At 40.3% G+C, this 21,488-nt stretch overlaps 1 protein-coding gene across 7 annotated transcripts in view, besides 1 other annotated feature; it reads right to left on the bottom strand.

The window, feature by feature from the left end:
* PDGFRA (platelet derived growth factor receptor alpha) overlaps positions 12,016–21,488 on the bottom strand; it is a 68,953-nt gene continuing 59,480 nt past the window's right edge. For all 7 annotated transcript variants that reach the window (NM_001347828.2, NM_006206.6, XM_005265743.2 and 4 more), the window contains 4 exons: positions 21,363–21,462; positions 21,147–21,252; positions 19,707–19,948; positions 12,016–15,136 (listed from right to left, as the gene is read on the bottom strand). In NM_001347828.2, coding sequence (NP_001334757.1) covers positions 14,989–15,136; positions 19,707–19,948; positions 21,147–21,252; positions 21,363–21,462 — 596 coding nt within the window. In that variant the 3' untranslated portion in view covers positions 12,016–14,988. The remainder of the gene's footprint in view (positions 15,137–19,706; positions 19,949–21,146; positions 21,253–21,362; positions 21,463–21,488) is intronic.
* Positions 15,177–15,369: a silencer, noted in NCBI's record as "fragment chr4:55161059-55161251 (GRCh37/hg19 assembly coordinates)". NCBI's record gives its function as "represses an EF-1alpha promoter that drives an FKBP-Casp9 reporter gene in an ReSE screen in K562 erythroleukemia cells {active_cell/tissue: K562}" and the evidence as "EXISTENCE:reporter gene assay evidence [ECO:0000049][PMID:32094911]".

The following is a 21,488-nucleotide window of genomic DNA, read 5'->3' as shown; positions in this document are numbered from 1 at the left end:
ACTTTAAAAATCTCTACATTATTTATACTACCTAATACAATGTAAATGCCATGCAAATAATTGTTATACTAGATTGTTTTATTTGTATTATTTGTATTGCTGTATTATTTTTTATTTGTTTTTTAAAAATATTTTTCACCCACAGTTTGTTGAATCCAGAGATGTGAAACCTGCAGATTCAAAGGCTGATTGTATTAAGAAATGAAAAAATGAAAATTATGTGATAATCTTAAGAGATGCAGAAAACACTTTCCACAGATCCCAACATCCATTCCAGATAAAAACCTCTCACCAAACTAGGAACAGAAAGAAACGTGTTTAAACTGATGAACAATGTCCATGAAAAGTCTATAGCTAACATCATATTGAATGGTGAAAGACTGAATACTTTCCCCCTTAATATCAGGAATCAAGCAAGGATGTGGCTTTTGCCATTTCCATTCCACTTTGTACTGGAGTTCATAGCCAGTGCAATACAGTAAGCAGAAGAAATAAAATACATCCACATTGGGAAGGAAGAAGCAAAATTGTCTTTACTTGCAGTTAACATTGTCTACATCTAAAATTCTAAGGAATATACAAGGTTGCAGAAGATAAGGTCAATTGAATTTCCATAAACTGGATAGAAATAGAAATTTTAAAAATACCATTTACAATAGGATCAGCTAAAAACATGAAATATATAACTTATAAATAAGTTAACAATGTATATATAAGTGCACTAAAAACTACAACATTTAGGAAACCCCAATCTTTTATAATGAGCTGCAAGCAAACCTGACAAACGTTTGTCCCAGAAGGAGACATCATCTTTATTATATTGCACATCAAGCAAATCTGCCCTCTGCTCTAGAGAGAGACTCTCTTTCTTCCATGATAGAGAGAGGACTCTTGTCTGTTGTTATTAATTTCCAAACCTCAGGACCTACTTCAAGCAAATCTGCCCTCTGCTCCAGAGAGGGACTCTCTCTTTCTTCCATGATAGAGAGGAATCTTGTCTGTTGTATTAATTACCAAACCTCAGGACCTAAAGCAGTGCCGAGCTCAATAACATTGAAGAATAGTTAGGGAGGATGGATGTGAAGGTGGCCATGAAAGTATCTGGAATTAAAGCAAAGACAGGGACTGCAGAAGTAAAGCTACCAGGTATGGTTACCCCGGCCTTACTTAGTTCCCTGTTCTCAAATTCTGCAACCATACTTTGTGTTCTCTGGTTGCAGGAATGCTTCAGTTTTATCAGAAGGCTCCAGTAAGCTTTATTCTTTATCCTACTCCATCGGCTTTCTACTTTTTCACTCTAAGGAAGGACTGTGGCCTCCACCTACCACAGTTTTCTTCTCTATGATGTAGTGTTTCCCTCAGGTAATTAGCTGGTTGAAATCAACTGTACCAGCTGTCTCATTTACGCATTTCAGAGATCAGCTAAACAAAGAGGAGGCTGTTCTCTAATAAATATTTGTTGAAGGAATTAATAAAAAGTGACTTTCTGTGACTGGATTATTACAGCGTGTTCTCATGCATTTTCTCCTTTTAGGAAACCAAGTCGTAGTCTTTCTAGAAAGAAAGAAAGGATGTCTAATAATCTCAGGGTAATGAAAGACGAATCTACTCTGGAATTGCCTTCATATACACCTGATATTATATGCAACCCTGTGGGATAGCAAGCTGAACAAAATGAGAAGTCTGATGGAATACTCAGGAAAGAGACCAAAAAGGTTTTCTTTATTTCAAAGAGTTACTTAATTCTTAATCAAGTCTAAAACTTTGACCAGCCACACAATCTGCACCTCAAACACCACACAGAAAATACTGGATCCGATTCTGTTCAGAGCAGTCAGCATGAAATGTAATGAAATTCAAAATAGACAGGATACACATGCTCCAGAGGGAAGTCATTAATACCCATGAATAATGATAAAGCAAAATACCATCTGCCAGCATAATGTGGCAAATCTTTTTAAAATTCCAATTAGCCTATAAACCAGAAACAGGGAGCAAATATGCTCCCTCTGCCATGTGAGACCATGTGTCCTTGATGTCTCCATCACTTTATATGTAAACGAAAGTGTGAGTGATGGAAACATTACCCATAGATGAATAGATTTTGGAGAATATATTCATTATTCTTTAAGACACAGGTGCTATGTATCTAACTGCGTGGAACAGAATGTTATAATCTGCTAATTAAAGCCACATATGTATTTTCACATATATCTTAATGGGAGGGGGTGAAAAATTGTGTCTGTTATAAACACAGTATATTAATTTTGCTATAACAATGTAGTTGGATTTAATCCTTACATGTATTTAGAACGAGAGATAATGAAACATTTCTATCACTGTTATCCCAGGGAAAATTGCCTAGTTTATGATGGATTCAGATATTCTTAGCCATTTTCCTGAACTGCATTTTGTGAAGCACATAGCTATTAAAATCATAATACCCATTATTAGAACTGGTGTATTATACCCTGAAAAGAAATTGTTCTGATTACAAACGTGTAGAATAGTTCCACAGGCTGACTAGCTCATCACTTGTCTTTTGAAATATCTCAAGAAGCAAGCAACCTACTTCTGAGCGCAGATATTTTTCTGTACCTCTTCCTTTTCCCATGGTTTGTTGTAGTATAAATGACACTGGCATTAGTATTTTTGCAGTTTCTAATCCTAGTGCTGTCAGTATTCAGTTACACAATTTTTTAAAAGTCATTTGTCTTGTGCTATCTTGGTTTCCTCATCTATAAAATGTCTTCCCTTCTTTTGTAAGAATCAAAAGAAGTAAATGTGAAAGAATCTTTGAACAAGTTTTAAGTATTCGAAGAGTAAAAGTCATTTTCATTTTATTATGACTAGATAAAGTAGATGGAGTTGTCTGCATTGTATTAAGAAGTAGAATTGTACATTTTAAAAGGACAAAATTATCCAAGCAAGTTTGGAGTACCCTGTGTTGCTGCCGTATTAGGCAGCTATTGTTTAATCAGCAGGGTTCTTGTTCCCAATGATCTGTCTTCTTCCTGGAGCTGGAACTGAGATACAGCCAATATCCCACCTACAGCTAGTTCCTTGGAGGTTTTTATTTTATTTTTCCATAAGTTTTGAAGTACTGGTGGTATTGGCTACATGATTAGGTTCTTTAGTAGTGATTTGTGAGATTTTGGTTCACCCACTTCCCAAGAAGTATACACTGCACCATACTTGTAATCTTTTATCCCTCGCCCCCTCCCATGCCTCCTCCCAAGTCCCGTAGTCCATTGTATCATTCTTATGCCTTTGCGTCCTCATAGCTTAGCTCCCACAGATCAGTGAGAACACACGATGTTTGGTTTCCCATTCTTGAGTTACGTCACTTAGAATAATAGTCTCCAGTCTCATCCAGGTCACTGCAAATGCTGCTAATTCATTCCTTTTCATGGCTGTGTAGTATTCCATCATACATATATATCTCATATATGCATATGTATATATATATATCAGTTTCTTTTTCCACTCGTTGATTGATGGGCATTTGGGTTGGTTCCACAATTTTCCAATTGTGAATTTTGCTGCTATAAACATGTGTATGCAAGTATCTTTTTCGAATAATTACTTCTTTTCCCCTGAGTAGATACCCAGTAGTGATATTGCAGGATCAGATGGTGGTTCTACTTTTAGTTCTTTAAGGAATCTCAGCTGGGCACAGTGGATCACACCTGTAATGACAGCACTTTGGGAGCCCGAGGTGGGTGGATCACCTGAAGTCAGAAAGTTCGAGACCAGCCTGGTCAACATGATGAAACTCGTCTCTACTAAAAATACAAAAATTACTCGGGAGTGGTGGCAGGTGCCTATGATCCCAGCTACTCAGGAGGCTGAGGCAGGAAAATCACTTGAACCCAGGAGGCAGAGGTTGCAGTGAGCCATGATTGCACCAGTATACTCCAGCCTGGGTGACAGAGTGAGACTCTGTCTCAAAAAAAAAAAAAAAAAAAAAAAAAAAAAAAAAAAAAAAAGAGTCTCCACACTGTTTTCCATGGTGGCTGTCATAGTTTACATTCCTGCCAGCAGTGTTGAAGTGTTCCCTGTTCATGGCATTCACACCAACATCTACTATTTTCTGATTTTTTCATTATGGCCATTCTTGCAGGAGTAAGCTGGTATCGCATTGTGGTTTTGATTTGCATTTCCCTGATCGTTAGTGATGTTGAGCATTTTTTCACATGTTTATTGGCCATTTGTGTATCTTCTTTTGAGAATTGTCTCTTCATGCCCTTAGCCCACTTTTTGATGGGATTATTTGTTTTTTACTTACTGATTTGTTTGAGTTGGTTGTAGATTCTGGATATTAGTCCTTTGTCAGATGTATAGATTGTGAAGATTTTCTCCCAGTCTGTGGGTTGTCTGTTTACTCTGCTGACTATTCCTTTTGCTGTGCAAAAGCTCTTTAGTTTAATTAGGTCCCAGCTATTTATCTTTGTTTTTATTGCATTTGCTTTTGGGTTCTTGGTCATGAATTCCTTGCCTAAGCCAATATCTAGGAGGGATTTTCCAGTGTTATCTTCTAGAATTTTTATAGTTTCAGGTCTTAGGTTTAAGTCCTTAATCCGTCTTGAGTTGATTTTTGTATAAGGTGAGAGATGAGGATCCAGTTTTATTCTTCTACATGTGGCTAGCCAATTATCCCAGCACCATTTATTGAAAAGGGTGTCCTTTCCCCACTTTATATTTTTGTTTACTTTGTCAAAGATCAGTTGGCTTTAAGTTTTTGGGTTTATTTCTGGGTTCTGTATTCTGTTCCATTGGTCTATGTGCCTATTTTTATAACAGTACCATGCTGTTTTGGTGACTACGGCCTTACAGGGTAGTTTGAAATCAGGTAGTGTGATGCCTCCAGATTTGTTTTTTGTTTAGTCTTGCTTTGGCTATGCAGGCTCTTTTTTGATTCCACATGAATTTTAGAATTGTTTTTTCTAATTCTGTGAAGAATGATGGTGGTATTCTGATGGGGGTTGCATTGAATTTGTAGGTTGCTTTTGGTGGTATGGTCATTTTCACAATATTGATTCTGCCCATCCATGGGCATAGGATGTGTTTCTATTTGTTTGTGTCATCTATGATTTCTTTCAGCAGTGTTTTGTAGTTTTCCTTGTAGAAGTTTTTTGACTCCTTTGTTAGGTATATTCCTAAGTATTTTTTTTTCAGCTATTATAAAAGGGATTGAGTTCTTGATGTGATTCTCCACTTGGTCGCTGTTGGTGTATAGAAGAGCTACTGATTTGTGTACATTAATCTTGTATCCAGAAACTTTGCTGAATTCTTTTATCAGTTCTAGGAGCTTTTTGGAGGAGTCCTTACTTAGGGTTTTCAAGGTAAATGATCATATCATCAGCAAACGGTGACAGTTTGACTTCCTCTTTACTTGTTTGGATGCCCTTTATTTTTTTCTCTTGTCTTATTGCTCTGGATAGGACTTCTAGTACTATGTTGAAAAGAAGTGGTGAGAGTGGGCATCCTTGTCTTTTTCCAGTACTCAGAAGGAATGCTTTCAACTTTTCCTCATTCAGTATTATGTTGGATATGGGTTTGTCATAGGTGGCTTTTATTACATTAAGGTATGTCCCTTGTATGCCAATTTTGCTGAGAGTTTTAATCATAAAGCAATACTGGATCTTGTCAAATGCTTTTTCTGCATCTATTGAGAGGGTCATGTGATTTTTGTTTTTAATTCTGTTTATGTGGTGTATCACATTTATTGACTTGCATATGTTAAACCATCCCTGCATCCCTGGTATGAAACCCACTTAATCATGGTGGATTATCTTTTTTATGTTATTGGATTCAGTTAGCTAGTATTTTGTTAAGGATTTTAGCATCTATGTTCATCAAGGATATCGGTCTGTAGTGTTTTTTCTGTTTGTTTGTTTGTTTGTTTTTGTTGTTGTTGTTTTGGTTGTGTCCTCCCTGGTTTTGGTATTAGGGTGATGTTGGCGTCATAAAATGAATTAAGGAGGGTTCCTTCTTCTCTATCTTGTGGAATAGTGTCAAAAGGATTGATACCAAATCTTCTTTGAATGTCTGGTAGAATTCTGCTGTGAATCCATCTGGTCCTGGACTTTTTTTGGTTTATAATTTCTTAATTACTATTTCAATCTCACTACTTGTTATTGGTCTGTTCAGCATATCTAATTCTTCCTGATTTAGGCCACGAGGATTGTATTTTTCCAGGAATTTATCCATCTCTTCTAGGTTTTCTAGTTTATGTACATAAAGGTGTTCATAGTAGCCTTAAATGATCTTTTGTATTTCAGTGGTGTCAGTTGTAATATCTCCTGTTTTGTTTTTTAGTGAGGTTATTTGGATTTTCTCTCTTCTTTTCTTGGTTAATCTTGCTAATGGTCTATTTTATTTATGTTCTCAAAGGATCAGCTTTTTGTTTCATTTATCTTTTTTTTGGTTATAATTTTATTTAGTTCTGCTCTTGGTTATTTTCTTCTTGTACTGGGTTTAGGTTTTGTTTGTTCTTGTTTCTCTAGTTCCTTGAGATGTGACTTTAGGTTGTCTGTGCTTTTTCAAGCTTTTTGATGTAGGCATTTATGGCTATGAACTTTACTCTTAGCACTGCCTTTGTTGTATCCCAGAGGTTTTGATTGGTTGTGTCGTTATTGGCATTCAGTTCAAAGAATTTTTAAACTTCCATCTTGATTTTGTTTTTGACCCAATGCTCGTTCAGGAGCAGGTTATTTAATTTCCATGTATTTGAATGGTTTTGAAGATTCCTTTTAGAGTTGATTTCCAGTTTTATTTCACTGTGGTCTGAGAGAGTACTTGATATAATTTCAATTTTCTTAAATTTATTGAGGCTTATTTTATGGCCTATCATATGGTCTATCTTGGAGAAAGTTCCATATGCTGTTGAATAAAATGTGTATTCTGAGGTTGTTGGATGAAATGTTTTGTATATATCTGTTAGGTCCATTTGTTCCAAAGTATAGTTTAAATCCATTGCTTCTTTGTTGACTTTCCGTCTTGATGACCTGTCTAGTGCTGTCAGTGGAGTATTGAAGTCCCCCACTATTATTGCGTTGCTGTCTATCTCATTTCTTAGGACTATTAGTAATTGTTTTATAAGTTTGTGATCTCCAGTGTTAGGTGCATATATGTTTAAGATTGTGATATTTTCCTGTTGGACAAGGCCTTTTACCATTATATAATGTCCCTCTTTGTCTCTTTTAACTGCTGTTGCTTTAAAGTGTTTGTTTGTTTTTTTCTGATATAAGAATAGTTACCCCTGCTCGATTTTGGTGTCCATTTGCACAAAATGCCCCTTTCCATTCTTTTACTTTAATTCTGTGTAAGTCCTTATGTGTTAGGTGAGTCTCTTGAAGGCAGTAGATAGTTAGTTGGTGAATTCTTACCCACTCTGTGGTTCTGTATCTTTTAAGTAGAGCATTTAGGCCATTTACATTCAATGTTAGTATTGAAATGTGATGTACTGTTGCTTCCATCATGCTCTTTGTTGCCTCTGTGGTTTGGTTTTTTGTTTGTTGTTTTTGCTTTTTAAATTGTATTTTTGTTTTACAGGCCCTATGTGATTTATTCTTTAAAGACGTTCTGTTTCAATGTGTTTCCAGGATTTGTTTCAAAATTTAGGGTTCCTTTTAGCAGTTCTTATAGTGGTAGTTTGATAATGGTGAATTCGCTCAGCATTTATTTGTCTGAAAACAACTGTATCTTTCCTTCATATATGATGCTTAGTTTTGCTGGATACAAAATTCTTGGCCGATAAAATGTTTTGTTTGAGGAGGCTGAAGATAGTGCCCCAATCCCTTCTAGCTTGTAGGGTTTCTGCTGAGAAATCTGCCATTAATCTGATAGGTTTTCCTTTGTGCTTCTGTCTCACAGCTATTAAGATTCTTTCCTTGGTCTTAACTTTGGATAATCTGATGACAATGTGCCTAGGTGAAGATCTTTTTGCAGTGAATTTCCCAGGTGTTCTTTATGCTTCTTGTATATGGCTGTCTAGTATCTCACAAGGCCAGGGATGTTTTCCTCCATTATTCCCCCAAGTATGTTTTCTAAGCTTTTAGAATTGTCTTCTTCCTCAGGAACAACAATTATTCTTATATTTGGTTGTTTAACACAATTCCAGATTTCTTGGAGGCTTTGTTCATATTATTCTTTTTTCTTTTTTTTATTATTATGCTTTAAGTTCTGGGGTACATGTGCACAATGTGCGGGTTTGTTACATAGGTATACATGTGCCATGTTGGTTTGCTGCACCCATCAACTCGTCATTTACATTAGGTGTTTCTCCTAATGCTATCTCTCCCCCGGCCCCCCACCCCCTGACAGGCTCTGATGTGTGATGTTCCCCCCCGCCTGTGTTCATGTGTTCTTGTTGTTCAGCTCCCACCTATGAGTGAGAACATGTGGTGTTTGGTTTTCTGTCCTTGTAATAGTTTGCTTAGAATGATGGTTTCCAGCTTCATCCATGTCTCTGCAAAGGACATGAACTCATCCTTTTTTATGGCTGCATCTTATTCTTCTTTCTTTGTCTTTGTTGGATTGGGTTAATCTGAGGACCTTGTCTTTGAGCTCTAAAGTTCTTTCTTCTACTTGTTCAATTCTATTGCTGAGACTTTCCAGAGCATTTCACATTTCTAAAAGTGTGTCCAAAGTTTCCTGAATTTTTTATTGTTTTTTCCTTAAGCTATCTATTTCCATGAGTATTTCTCTCTTCACTTCTTATATCATTTTTTAGATTTCCTTGCATTGAGCTTCACCTTCTTCTGGTCCCTCCCTGATAAGCTTAATAACTAACTTCTTGAATTCTTTTTCAAGTAAATCAGGATTTCTTCTTGGTTTGGATCCATTGCTGGTGAACTAGTGTGATTTTGGGAGGTGTTGAAGAGCCTTGTTTTGTCCTATTACCAGGGTTGGTTTTCTGGTTTCTTCTCATTTGGGTAGGCTCTGTCAGAGGGAAGGTATAGGGCTGAAGGCTGTTGTTCAGATTCTTTTGTCCCACTGGGTGTTCCTTTGATGTAGTACTCTCCCCCTTTTCCTATGGATGTGGCTTCCTATGAGCTAAACTGCAGTGGTTGTTTTCTCTCTTCTGGGTCTAGCCACCCAATTAGTCTACCCAGCTCTGGGCTGGTACTGGGGGTTGTCTGCACAGAGTCCTGTGACGTGAACCATCTATGGGTCTCTCAGCCATGTATACCAGTGCTTGTTCTGGTGGAGGTGGTGGACAGTGCAATGGACTCCATGAGGGTCCTTAGTCTTGGTGGTTTAATGCTTTATCTTTGTGCTGGTTGGCCTCCTGCCAGAAGGTGGTACTTCCCAGGAAGCATCAGCTATAGTAGTGTGGAGAGGAACCAGTGGAGGGCGGAGCCCTAGAATTCCCAAGATTATGTCCTTTGTCTTATGCTACCAGCGTGGATAGGAAAGGACCATCAGGTGCGGGTGAGGCTAGGCATGTCTGAGCTCAGACTCTCCTTGGGCAAGTCTTGCTGAGGCTGCTGGGGGGAAATGGGAGTGAGATTCCCAGGTCACTGGAGTTGTGCACCTAGGAGGATTATGGCTGTCTCCGCTGAGTCATGCAGGTTGTCAGGCAAGTAGGGGAAAGCCGGCAGTCACAAGCCTCACCCAGCTCCCCCACAAACCGAAGGGCTTGTCTCACTCCCACCCTGCCCACCTCAACAGCCCTGAGTCTGTTTCCAGGCAGAGGGCAAGATGGGCTTGAAAACTTGCCCAAGGCTATCCTCCTCCCAGCTGGGAGAGAAAAGGGCTTTAGTTCTTCCTCTGCCTGTGAAGTCTGTACGCCCGATTTGCACCCTCCCCCGAGTTCCGGCCAGGAAGCTTCTTGCCCCTTTCAAATTGTTACAAAGTTCAGCTAGAGATTTCCTTCTCCCTGTGGAGTTTTACCCCCTGCTCCTCTGGCCACCCTCCCTATGGATCCCTGTGGTGCCAGGCAGGAATGGGCTGCTTGGGGACTCAGCGAGCTCCCAGGGCCTTTCTGCTGCTTCCTCCACCCCTGTATTTTGCTCAGCTCTCTAACTTGACTCAGCTTGAGGTAAAGTCAGAAACTTCTCCCGCAAGCAAAACTTCAGCTGCTCCAGTGGGACTGCGCATTCGGTAGAGGAGGGTCTCCCTGTACCACTTCCGCATTTGGGGCAACTCACAATATTTGGGGTGTCTCCCCGGTCCTGCAGGAGAAGTCCACTTCCATCAGAGGGTCTGTGGGTCCTCTCAGGATCTGGAGCTAAAATTCACAATGCAAGCTGCTGCATGCTGCTCTGTCCTGAGCTGCAATCTAGTCTTGCCTCTCATATGCCATGATCTTCTGAATCCCTCCTTGGAGGTTTAACTCCAAAGAAGTATGCTTCCAGCTGCAGGCTACTTGAATTTGGATAAGGAGTTATATTGGAATAGGGTGCTATATTCTGATTATTAACAACATAATCAATTTTCATTATCCGTGAGCTCAAAATAAGGTGAGTTGTACCATTTTTTTAAATTCCTAAAGTCACTTGCTTCAGTATGCTTCAGAACACAAAACCCACATTCTCTCACACTTACCACATTGTATTTCTTCCAATCCTATTTTGAAGACCATGATTCCTGGGCAATGTGGAGCAGAGACTAGAAAACTGCATGTAATGTGCAAAGCCAGTGATTCACGTGCAGATGCTCAAGAACTTATGTATCAATCCTATCTGAAGACTTCAGCTCAACATCAATTTATTTCTGCACACCCTTTGGCCTAGCAATTTCATTTGTAGAAATCCATTCTACAAAACACATTTTTGTATGCAAATATGTATGTTGCAAAAATGTTCATGAAATCATTTTAATAGCAAAGAACTGGAAACTATAAATCCATTTTACAAGACCATGATTGCATAAATTATGGTACATTTACATAATGGGATCCAATGGAGCTAATACCTCTGTATACTTTTCACAGAGATCGCTAAAACAGCATTAAAAAAAAAACAGAACTGTGGACTGTGTTATGGGTAATGATTTGGCAATGTAGGTTCATCAGCTGTAGCAAAGGTGGAGAATGTTAGTGATGGAGATGCTATGTTGGTGTGGGGGCAGGGCACACAGGGGAAATCTCTGTACCTTCTACTCAATTTTACTGCAAATCTAAAACTGCTTTAATAAATAGTTTTAAAAAGGAAAGAAAAAAGAACATTACAAAGGATTACATAAAGTGAGAACCCATTTAGGTAGATATGAAGCAAACGTAGAGATGTGTGTATGGGAATATATATACACAGATGCATACAAAGGGAACTGGAAGTTTAAAAGACACACCAAGTGGTGCAGCTCTGCCTCTTGGAAACAGGACAGGGACAGGGAAGAAGACACGGTGAAAAAAATAATTTAACATTTTACTTCCTACACTTTTACGACAGTTGAATGTTGTACAGAGTTACTGCAGTCCTGTATTCCTTATGCAGGGGAAGAAAACACCACAGGATAAAGATGAACAATCAAAAAAATGATGAGACCAAAGATGAGCCAAGTGCCAATCATCTTTAAGTCAAATACTGTGTCGTGGAACAATCTAGCTCATATAATGTCTTAAACCTTAGATATTCTATTGGTTCATCAAAAGCCTAATAAAGGCCAGGCGTGGTGGTTCACACCTGTAATCCCAGCACTTTGGGAGGCCGAGGCAGGCAGATCATCTAAGGTCAGGAGTTCGAGACCAGCCCGGCCAACATGATGAAACCCCCATCTCTACTAAAAATACAAAAATTAGCCAGGCATGGTGGCAGGCGCCTATAATCCCAGCTACTTGGGAGGCTGAGGCAGGAGAATTGCTTGAACTCGGGAGGCAGAAGTTGCAGTGAACTGAGATCACGCCACTGCACTCCAGCCTGGATGACAAGAGCAAAACTCCGTCTCAGGAAAAAAAAAAAAAAGGCCTAATATAGAGTCCTACAAATGTTGCTAAGAAAGTAAATAGAACAGGATTGCTTTAATTCTTATGATTAAACTAAAAACAAAAATGCTGAAACCTTAGTATAACTTTAAATTATATATCATTTATTGAAATATAAAGATCTTCATTTACACGTTTTAAAACAAAAACATGAACAGGGGCATTCGTAATACATTTTGTATTGGTAGACCCTATCAAGTTAGTTTTTCTCACACATTCACCACACCATTGTTTTGGGAACATGTAAGTATCTTTCTTTTTATTATTTCTAAAATATAAATTTTGGACATTCAAAAGTGCAACAGTTAATGTGCCTGTGGGGATTATCACAGTTAAAAAAATATAAACGAAGGCAGTGATACAGCTTGTCATAAATGTTTTGGCAGTATTCTCCAAGTCTATATAGAAATACATATATACATATTGATGTATAACATCATTTTATCTTATGTCCCTCTTCACAAAAATAGGACCATTTTGTACAGATTGGCAGACCACATTTTAAGGACATCACTAATCGTTTAAAAAGTCACAAATAGTGTTTCTCAGGCCGGCTTTGATTGTCATCATAAAAATAGAAAGTAGGAAAGATTGGCAAATTTTCTTCTGGAGACTTTGCAGGAGGCCAAAAGGAAACAAATCTGGAATTTGCTGAAAACACACACACACACACAAATGCAGTCATATACAAATTCAGGTGGGAGCATTTGTTAGGACTGGAAACTGCTGGACTGAGAAGTTTCATCCGGCCTCATGATGTCATGCAAGGCTCACAGCAATATCAAAATGCAAAGCACCAACAAAATAAGGCTGTACAAGGGAGAGTGAGCGATAAACAGAATGCTTGAGCTGTGATTCTAGAAACACAAACGTATTTCAAGTCTAATTGGCTCTACAGAACCTAGTCAGGTTTTCGTTTTTAATTGGCCAATCTGGCTCAGTCTTCGCACTTACTATGAAAAAGTTGGATAAGAAAGTTGGGGCTTGCATTGAGATTACACCAGTAGGTAGTCAAGTACTTTATTATTGCTTCTGCATCTTCCAAAGCATCATCTGCCGATAGCACAGTGATTGCAGTAATCACAGCCCATGTTTCATTCATATGGTATCAGCAATTAAGCAGTATTGCAAAGAATGCCAATGAACCCACACCAACCTGTTTGACAGTGTGGATAGATGTGACAATTCATCCTCCCATCTAACCTCAAATTATCAGTAAAACTTAAAATGTTTTTTCCACCAAAACACTGAGCTGGTTACACAGAGACTTGGAACACTGAATTGCATAATTTTTGTACATGCCTTTCCTTGGCGGGGTATGGAGTGGGAGGCAGAAGACGGGAGACGGGGAAAGTTCAATCTCCCCCATACAGTGGGAAGTAGCATCTTTACTTTTGGAAAACCTGTCAAAACCAAACTTTAGCTTTCTCAGCCTCAGCTAAGACTGGAAAGTTAAATTAAGGTCGCAATTGCTAGCTAGATGGCATTAAATGTCACTAACCTGAAGCCAAGGATTTAAATAGTAGGCTTCCTGCGTGGTTGAATGCCAACCCTGTTCCAAAGTTCAAATTATTTGTTTCCCATGGCAACTTCCTGAAACCTAAGTCAGTGTTTCCGAAAACTGGCCGATCAGAACAGCCAGGGAGTTTAGAAAAATACAGACTCTGGTTTCCCTCAGACTTCATACTTCAGAATCTCAAGGATGGAAACCCAGGATCTAGTCATCCTGGCTGCCACACACATTTGAGAACTGAGGATCCAGGCTAATGCACATCCAGCCTCCACTAAAGAATATCTTTATGGTCTCGAGTTTCAAACTCTTTCTCTTTGGGGTAAGGGGTGAAAGAAGGAGGCTGATGTCTGGGCATCCTTCTGACCCTTTTCAGGTTCATAGATTCAAAAAATACATATATTGGGGTCGCCAAAGCTTTCATCAGGCATGAAGAAAAAAAAAAAAAAAACTTCTGCAAATCCAGTCTTTTTGCTGATCATTATATTTTCCATTGGGTAATATACATGAGAAGTTATGTTCAGCACAGGTTTATGCCTCTACATTGAGAACTTTTAGGACTTAAGAGTTTTGTTTGTTTCTAATCCCATTATTTCAGAGGGCAGTTAATTGTTTTTTAATACGATGGATTGGGGAACCTATTCAGTACAGTTAAAAATTCTGACTTCCTGGACAACACTACTTTTACTTTGTTCTCTATGCTCAACTAAATTTAATTCACTAAAGCTATTACCATACTTTATAGAGAAACATGTTATTTAATATAAATGTCAAAAACTGTCAAACTCATCACCTACTTAGTAAGGATTGTTTTAAATTGTGCTTTCTCTGGAGGGAAATCATGTTACATTATTACACATTTAGCATTACTGATAACAGTAGTAGTATTATAAACATAGATTACAATATGAAAATGAGTTGTCAGGCTTCTAAATGACCCAAATCTATTAAACAAGGTTGGTTAATTATTATTCTTTATCTCTTTAACACTAAAAAAGATAGCAAAATGCTATAGTACCAGTACCTTTTAAGGTTCAAAAATGGTTTTTCATGCACTTCTTTAAAAAGTTCAACAGCAGCTGACATCAGGTTTCAAGAGGGAAGTACATGGATGGATTGAGTGGTCTCTTCAGAAGTCCAAAGAAGATAGTTAATACAATCTAAACACAGCCTTGGTTAGAGTTATTTACATAATTACAATGCTGAAGTTCTGTCGCAGTATAAATTGTGTCTGTTGGACTCTCACCAATGTCCTTGAAGCACAAAGTTCACCTTCTGTGGCCTATTATTCCCTTATCCATCTATCTCCAAACTTCACACACCACTGAGATGCTACTGAGGCATTGCAAGAGGCAACACTGACAAAGTTCATTTCAAAATATCCCATTCATTCATATTTAGAACGCTCCCCGAGGCCCTTGGCTGGGAACTTCTCTTTAAACATCAACCAAGTCCTCCTCTCAACCTCTGCATTGCAATAAAGTGGTTTTCTGAACGGGATCCAGAGGTGGCCCCAGAAGTGGAAGGAACCCCTCGAATCCGCCAGTTACAGGAAGCTGTCTTCCACCAGGTCTGAAGAGTCTATGCCGATGTCATCCATCATGTCGATGTCTTCAATGGTCTCGTCCTCTCTCTTGATGAAGGTGGAACTGCTGGAACCCGTCTCAATGGCACTCTCTTCAGAGGTCTGCGAGCTGGAGGAGGGAGAGAAGAGCAAATATTACAACTCCTGCACAGAACTAGACCTAGACTGTGGCCCCCCAGAGACAAACGAAAGCCTTTGGCATTCAAATTTGGGCTGCACAGTATGGCAAGATTCTGCCCCCAGGCCTGACATGCTGTGGTAGGCCACGTGGAAAACCAAGGTCCACCCATCATTTTTACTCTTCAGCTTTCCTGCTTTTCTGCTGGGTCTTTCATCAAAGTTACTGACAAGCTGCAAGAATTTCTACTTTCCCTACTCAATCCTAGTGGAAGAGAACATAAGCAATGCCTGATCCAAAGGCCTGGGAAGGCAGAGCAGGGGGTGAAGTCAGGCCCATCAGGGTGCAAGCTGCAGCCAGGCCCATCAGGTGCTCTCCCGGAAGCCTCCTGAGCATCCAAACTGTGTTCTCAGGATCTCCTGCCACTTGCCTGGAATGCCCTCTTCCCCTCTCTCTTGACATCAAATGCCCCCCCACCAACCCCCAACTTGAGGGCCCAGGTGACGGCTCCTTACGTACTAGAGAAGTGGCTGAAAGGGGAGTTCTGGAGTCAGAAAGCCTTAGGTCTGGAATGGTCCCCCCACTTACTAGCTGTGTGATGCCACACAAGTTACTTAACTTGAACGTGAACTTCAACTGAGAAAGTTCAATTCCTGGCGTGTCAAATTCTGCAGCTCAGCCTGTTGTAGCCCTAGAAAACTTCTGGGCACCTTTCTCATGTTATTTATTCCAATGTGACTTTCTAACTTTATATAAAAGCAGAACCCTCTTACAACTCAAATATTATTCAGAGCCCACAAACACAAAGTAACCAAATTGAGAAAGGATCTGAGACAGAGAGCCCTAGATTCACTGCCCAGCCTTCCCCGACCCCCGTGAAGTTCCATCGCAGACCCCCAAAACTTGGAGGAACACCGTATGCTCAAGAGATATAAACACGTTATAAAAACTGGCCTGAGCAAAGCATAATAAAAAACCGAAGACTGATGGGCCACTGTGTCCCATCTTCAAATCACATAACATATTCTAAAACAAAATAGAAAAGCCATACTTTCAAAATTACCCAGTCCATACAAATAAACAAGGGCTGTCTACATATTATACCTAAATTGGTTAACAAAGGTCACAGTCATAAGCCTCCAAAATAATGTTCTGATGGGAAAGAAGAGGAAAACACACACACACACACACACACACACACACACACAAGCAACTTGGACCTTGAACTAGGGGCCACTATCATCACCTTCTCCTACCTCTGTCCAAGGGCCATGCAAAGACAGCGGAGAACTGGGGCATGGTCTCCTCCATCTGACCACGTCAGCCAGTGATTCTCAGTCCTGCCTGGGCATTAGCTCCACCTTGGTGCTGAGTTAAAGAATCTAGGCCGGGTGAGGTGGTTCATGCCTATAATCCCAGCATCTTGGGAGGCCGAGACCGGCAGATCACTTGAGGTCAGGAGTTCAAAACCAGCCTGGCCAACATGCTGAAACCCCATTTCTACTAAAAATACAAAAATTAGCTGGGCATGGTGGCATGTGCCTGTAATCCCAGCTACTCAGGAGGCGGAGGTATGAGAATGGCTTGAACTCAGGAGGTGGAGGTTACAGTAAGCTGAGATCACACCACTGCACTCCAGCCTGGGTGACAGAGCGAGACTCCATCTCAAAAAAAAAAAAAAAAAAAGAAATTCTAGGTAATGATCACCCAATGACTGATAATGTTACAAAAGGCAGACAACTGGACAGTGCATACCTCTTGACAGAAGCACACAGAACCATCTATGAAGCATGTTTGCCAAAGATCTAACCTGAGTCAGGTTAAGTTCCTAGACTAACTACCAGTTTACAACACATAGAGAAGACAGAAGCACCTGAGAAGGACACTTCAAGGATGTAATCAGCAAAATGCCGATTGTGGGAACTCCACAGGCAAACACTATGGTTTCTTCACAAATAATATGTAAGAGGGCAAAAAATAGAGACATAGTGAACTTACAGAGACATAGCAACCAAGTGCAATGTGTGACTCTTATCTGGATCTCAGACAGAACAAAACAAGTGTATGATAATTTTTTTTTAACTTTTATTTTATGTTCAAGGGCACGTGTGCAGGTTACATGGATAAATCACATGTCATGGCGGTTTGATGTACAGATTATTTCATCACCCAAATAATAAGCACAGTATCCGATAGGTATTTTTTCTGATCCTCTTCCTTCTCCCACCCTGCACCCTCAACTATGCCCTGGTGTCTGTTGTTCCCCTCTTTGTGTCCATGTGTTCTCGTAGTTTTAGCTCCCACTTATAAGTGAGAACATGCGGTATCTGGTCTTCTGTTCCCGTATTAGTTTGCTAAGGATAGTGACCTCCGGCTCCATCCACGTTGCTGCAAAGGACATGATCTTGTTCTTTTTTTAATTTCATTTTTGTATTTTCCACTTTTTAAGTTCAGGGGTACATATGCAGGATGTGCAGGTTTGTTACATGGGTAAACATGCGTCATGGTGGTTTGCCGCACAGATCATCCCATCACCCAGGTATTATGCCCAGTATCCATTAGCTATTCTTCCTGATGTTCCACCCAATCCCCAACCCCTGAAAGGCTCCAGTGTGTGTTGTTTCCCTCCATGTGTCCATGTGTCCTCATCGTTCAGCTCCCACTTATAAGTGAGAACATGTGGTGTTTGGTTTTCTGTTCCTGTGTTAGTTTGCTGACGGTAACGGCTTCCAGCTCCATCCATGTCCCTGCAAAGGACATGATCTCATTCCTTTTTACGGCTGCATCGTATTCCATGGTGTATATGTATCACATTTTCTTTATCCAGTCTATCATTGATGGGCATTTAGGTTGATTCCATGATTTTGCTATTGTGAACAGTGCAGCAGTGAACATACACATTCATGTGCCTTTATAATAGAATGATTTACATCACTCTGGGTATATACTCAGTAATGGGATTGATGGGTCAAACAGTATTTCTGCCTCTAGGTCTTTGGGGAATCGCCACACTGTCTTCCACAATGGTTGAACTAATTTACACTCCAACCAACATTGTAAAAGTGTTTCTTTTTCTCCACAACCTCGCCACAATCTGTTGCTTTTTGACTTTTAAATAATAGCCATTCTGACTGGTGGGAGATGGTATCTCAGATCTTGTTCTTTTTTATCAACACATAGTATTCCATGGTGTATATGTGCCAGATGTTCTTTATCCAGTCTACTGTCAATGGGCATTTAGGATGATTCCATGTCTTTGCTATCGTGAATAGTGCTGCAGTGAACATACGTATGCATGTCTTTATGGTAGAATGATTTATATTCCTTTGGTTATATACCCAGTAATGGGATTGCTGGATCCAATGGTAATTCTGTTAAAAGTTCTTTGAGAAATCACCACACTGCTTTCCACAATAGCTGAACTAATTTGCACTTCAACAAGCAGTGTATACGCTTCCCCTTTTCTCCACAACCTCACCAGCATCTGTTATTTTTTGACTTTTTAATAATAACCATTCTGTCTGGTGTGAGATGGTATCTCATCACGGTTCTGATTTGCATTTCTCTAGTGATCAGTGATGTTGAGCATTTTTTCATATGCTTGTTGGCTGCAGGTATGTCTTCTTTTGAAAAGTGTCTGCTTATGTCCTCTGCCCACTTTTTAATGGAGTATGATAATATTTGTGAGATAATTTGAACTTTAACTGGCTGCCTGATGCCTTAACGATTTATTGTCCCTGTTTTGGGTGAGATAACGGCATTGTAGTTATTTTTAATAACTGTTGTTCTTCTTTAAAATAGAGCCCTTATCTTTAAGAGACACACACTGGAATATTTATGGGTGAAATGATAAGGTGTCTAGGATTTGCTTCCAAACAATCCAGAGGAGGCTGAGGAGAGACAGACATGGCCATGTGTGCATCCAGGCTGGCAGAGGGCATAGTCATTGAAGCTGGGTGACGAATACTGAACAGCTCACTATACTATGTGAATTGTGCACACGTTAGAAATCTTCCATAATACAAAATTTAAAAGAAAGAAGAAACAAATCAGCCAGGGAGCAGTTGGCCACCACCCCCAGGGATTCTAATTTGTTGTTTTGGGTGAGGCTTGTAGATCAGCAGTTTTTAAATCTCTGCAGGTGATTCCAATTCACAGGTAGGGTATAGCGTCAAAGGACCCAGTCCCGCCTCTCTTCACTTTTTCCCCAGTTCAATGACTATTTAAGACAATGGCAGGAGAGGCTTATATGATCTCAGTAATCACAGTTCTGTATCAATTTGATCAAATTACCTGAGAATTTAGCTCAAAGATTCTCCACCAGGGAAGCATGTCCCTCTCCCCACAACATGCACATCCCTCTCCCAGCCCCAGGGGGAACATATTAGAATCATCTGGGAAGCATTTTCAAAACCACGTGGACCTCCTGAGGATTCTGCAACTTGTCCCTGAGTACATATTTACCAACCGGGAGTGCACCATTATCGGGAAAATGGGTCCTCTCCTTCAGGGCCTATAGGGGAGGGGAAAGGTGAGACACCGAGGCTGCCCCCACAGCTACCTGTGTCTGTTCCTCTTGCCCAGGTCCTCCTCCTCAGGGACAGGGTCAATGTCAGGCAGAGGAATGATGTAGCCACTGTCAGCGCTCAGTCTCTGCTCATCCAGACCACCCTCCCAGTCCTTCAGCTTGTCTTCCTCGTTTTTGTAGGTGACACCAATGTATGCATTGTCTGAGTCCACACGCATGCGTGCCACAGCAGGATGGTCACTCTTCAGGAAGTCCAGGTGAATTTTTTCATAACTCTATAAACATTCATTGAACATATTTAATCAAGTGTTAACAACCAAACCTCAAAAATGAATAGAGACACTCAGAACTTACTATTATTTAACTGTACATATCTCCAAACTACCTGGAAGATGTGGGACTTAGTTGAAGGAGAGTCATGTCAACTATCCCCAGAGACATAGAACATGAAGAAGGGGCCACCAATGGTAAAGAGCTTCTGCCATTAGGTGCTAAGATACCAGTAGCCCCTTCTCCAAGTCAGTAGCTACAACTGAGAATCCTTCTGGTCCCCATCACGTTGCCTTTCCAGGGCTTGGATGGGTCCCATAGAGAGGCAGTGAGGCCTTCTATTGGGTGGATAATACCCAAAGCCTTCATGATCCTTAAACATTGGAGAGGTCTAACATTGGATGTGAAAAGACCCTATTTTCAACAATAACTTCAATCTCTTCCCACCAACACATTTCCACCAGTCAGAGCATCTTTGACCAACTGAGGGTTAATTTCCTTCTGCCTCCTCACTGCCTCACCTGTGAAAGTTGTAGTGGGCAGTGAGATAATTAACAGACAGAAGCATTTAACTTCCAGTTCGGCACACAATCTCCTAACACTATTCCTCCTTGAGAAGAAGGAAGAAAAATGATAAGTATAAAAAGTCTACACAGGGACTAATCTCAATCTAAGAAACTGAGGTTATGTCTGAGTTTTCCTCTCAACACCTCAGCAGAAAGTTGTTTCATTCATTTACATATCCTGCCTGGTTCCAAGAAATTACATTTGTTCCTTTGAACAATGCTTCCCATTCCACAAAAAACCAGCTGGTGCCACAGATAACAGCTGAGGTTGTTCCTTCCAGTCCGCTGGTAAAAGCCAATTTCGCATGGATTTAAGTGCACTCAAATTAGTGATGTAATGGCCATGGATGCCCTGAGTCTTCTAACTGCACACTAACTTCTGATACTCAAACATCTGGAGAATAGTGCTTACAGGTACTGTACATATAAGATGAAAGGAAAGCCCCACGGGAAGGGGAGGGTTTTCATTCATCATTGCTACTAGGGTCTCGTGGAGCACCGCCATGAAGCCCAGCCACTGGATCACACAGTCTTTTGCCTCTTTTGAAAATGCTCCTCTAGAACTGCGGAACAGCACAGCTCACTGGTATAACTTCCAGCTTTATCCAGACCTTTCCACCCACAGATCCAAACACACCTTTTTATATTGTCCAGGCAGCAGATTCTCCACAATCTCACTCAGGTGGTAAAAGGAGGGTCTCTTCTCCGGCTCACTGTTCCAGCATTTCACCATGATCTCGTAGCTGTGGGGACAGAACTCAAGAGTGGGCACAGGGGGAAGTCTCAGGGCCCCTCCCTCCCCCTAGACCCACAGACTGTGAACACAGGCCCCCGGGATGGGGAAGGAGCTCACACTTCACTGGTAGCGTGGTCAGGCTTGGCCATCCGGTACCCACTCTTGATCTTATTGTAGAAAGTAGAATCCACCATCATGCCGGGGTAAGGGGTGCCACCTAAAAGCCAAACAATAAAACACCAG

The sequence above is a fragment of the Homo sapiens genome, chromosome 4, assembly GCF_000001405.40.
Source record: "Homo sapiens chromosome 4, GRCh38.p14 Primary Assembly".
NCBI classification, from domain to species: domain Eukaryota; kingdom Metazoa; phylum Chordata; class Mammalia; order Primates; family Hominidae; genus Homo; species Homo sapiens.
This window is presented reverse-complemented; position numbering and strand designations above follow the sequence as displayed.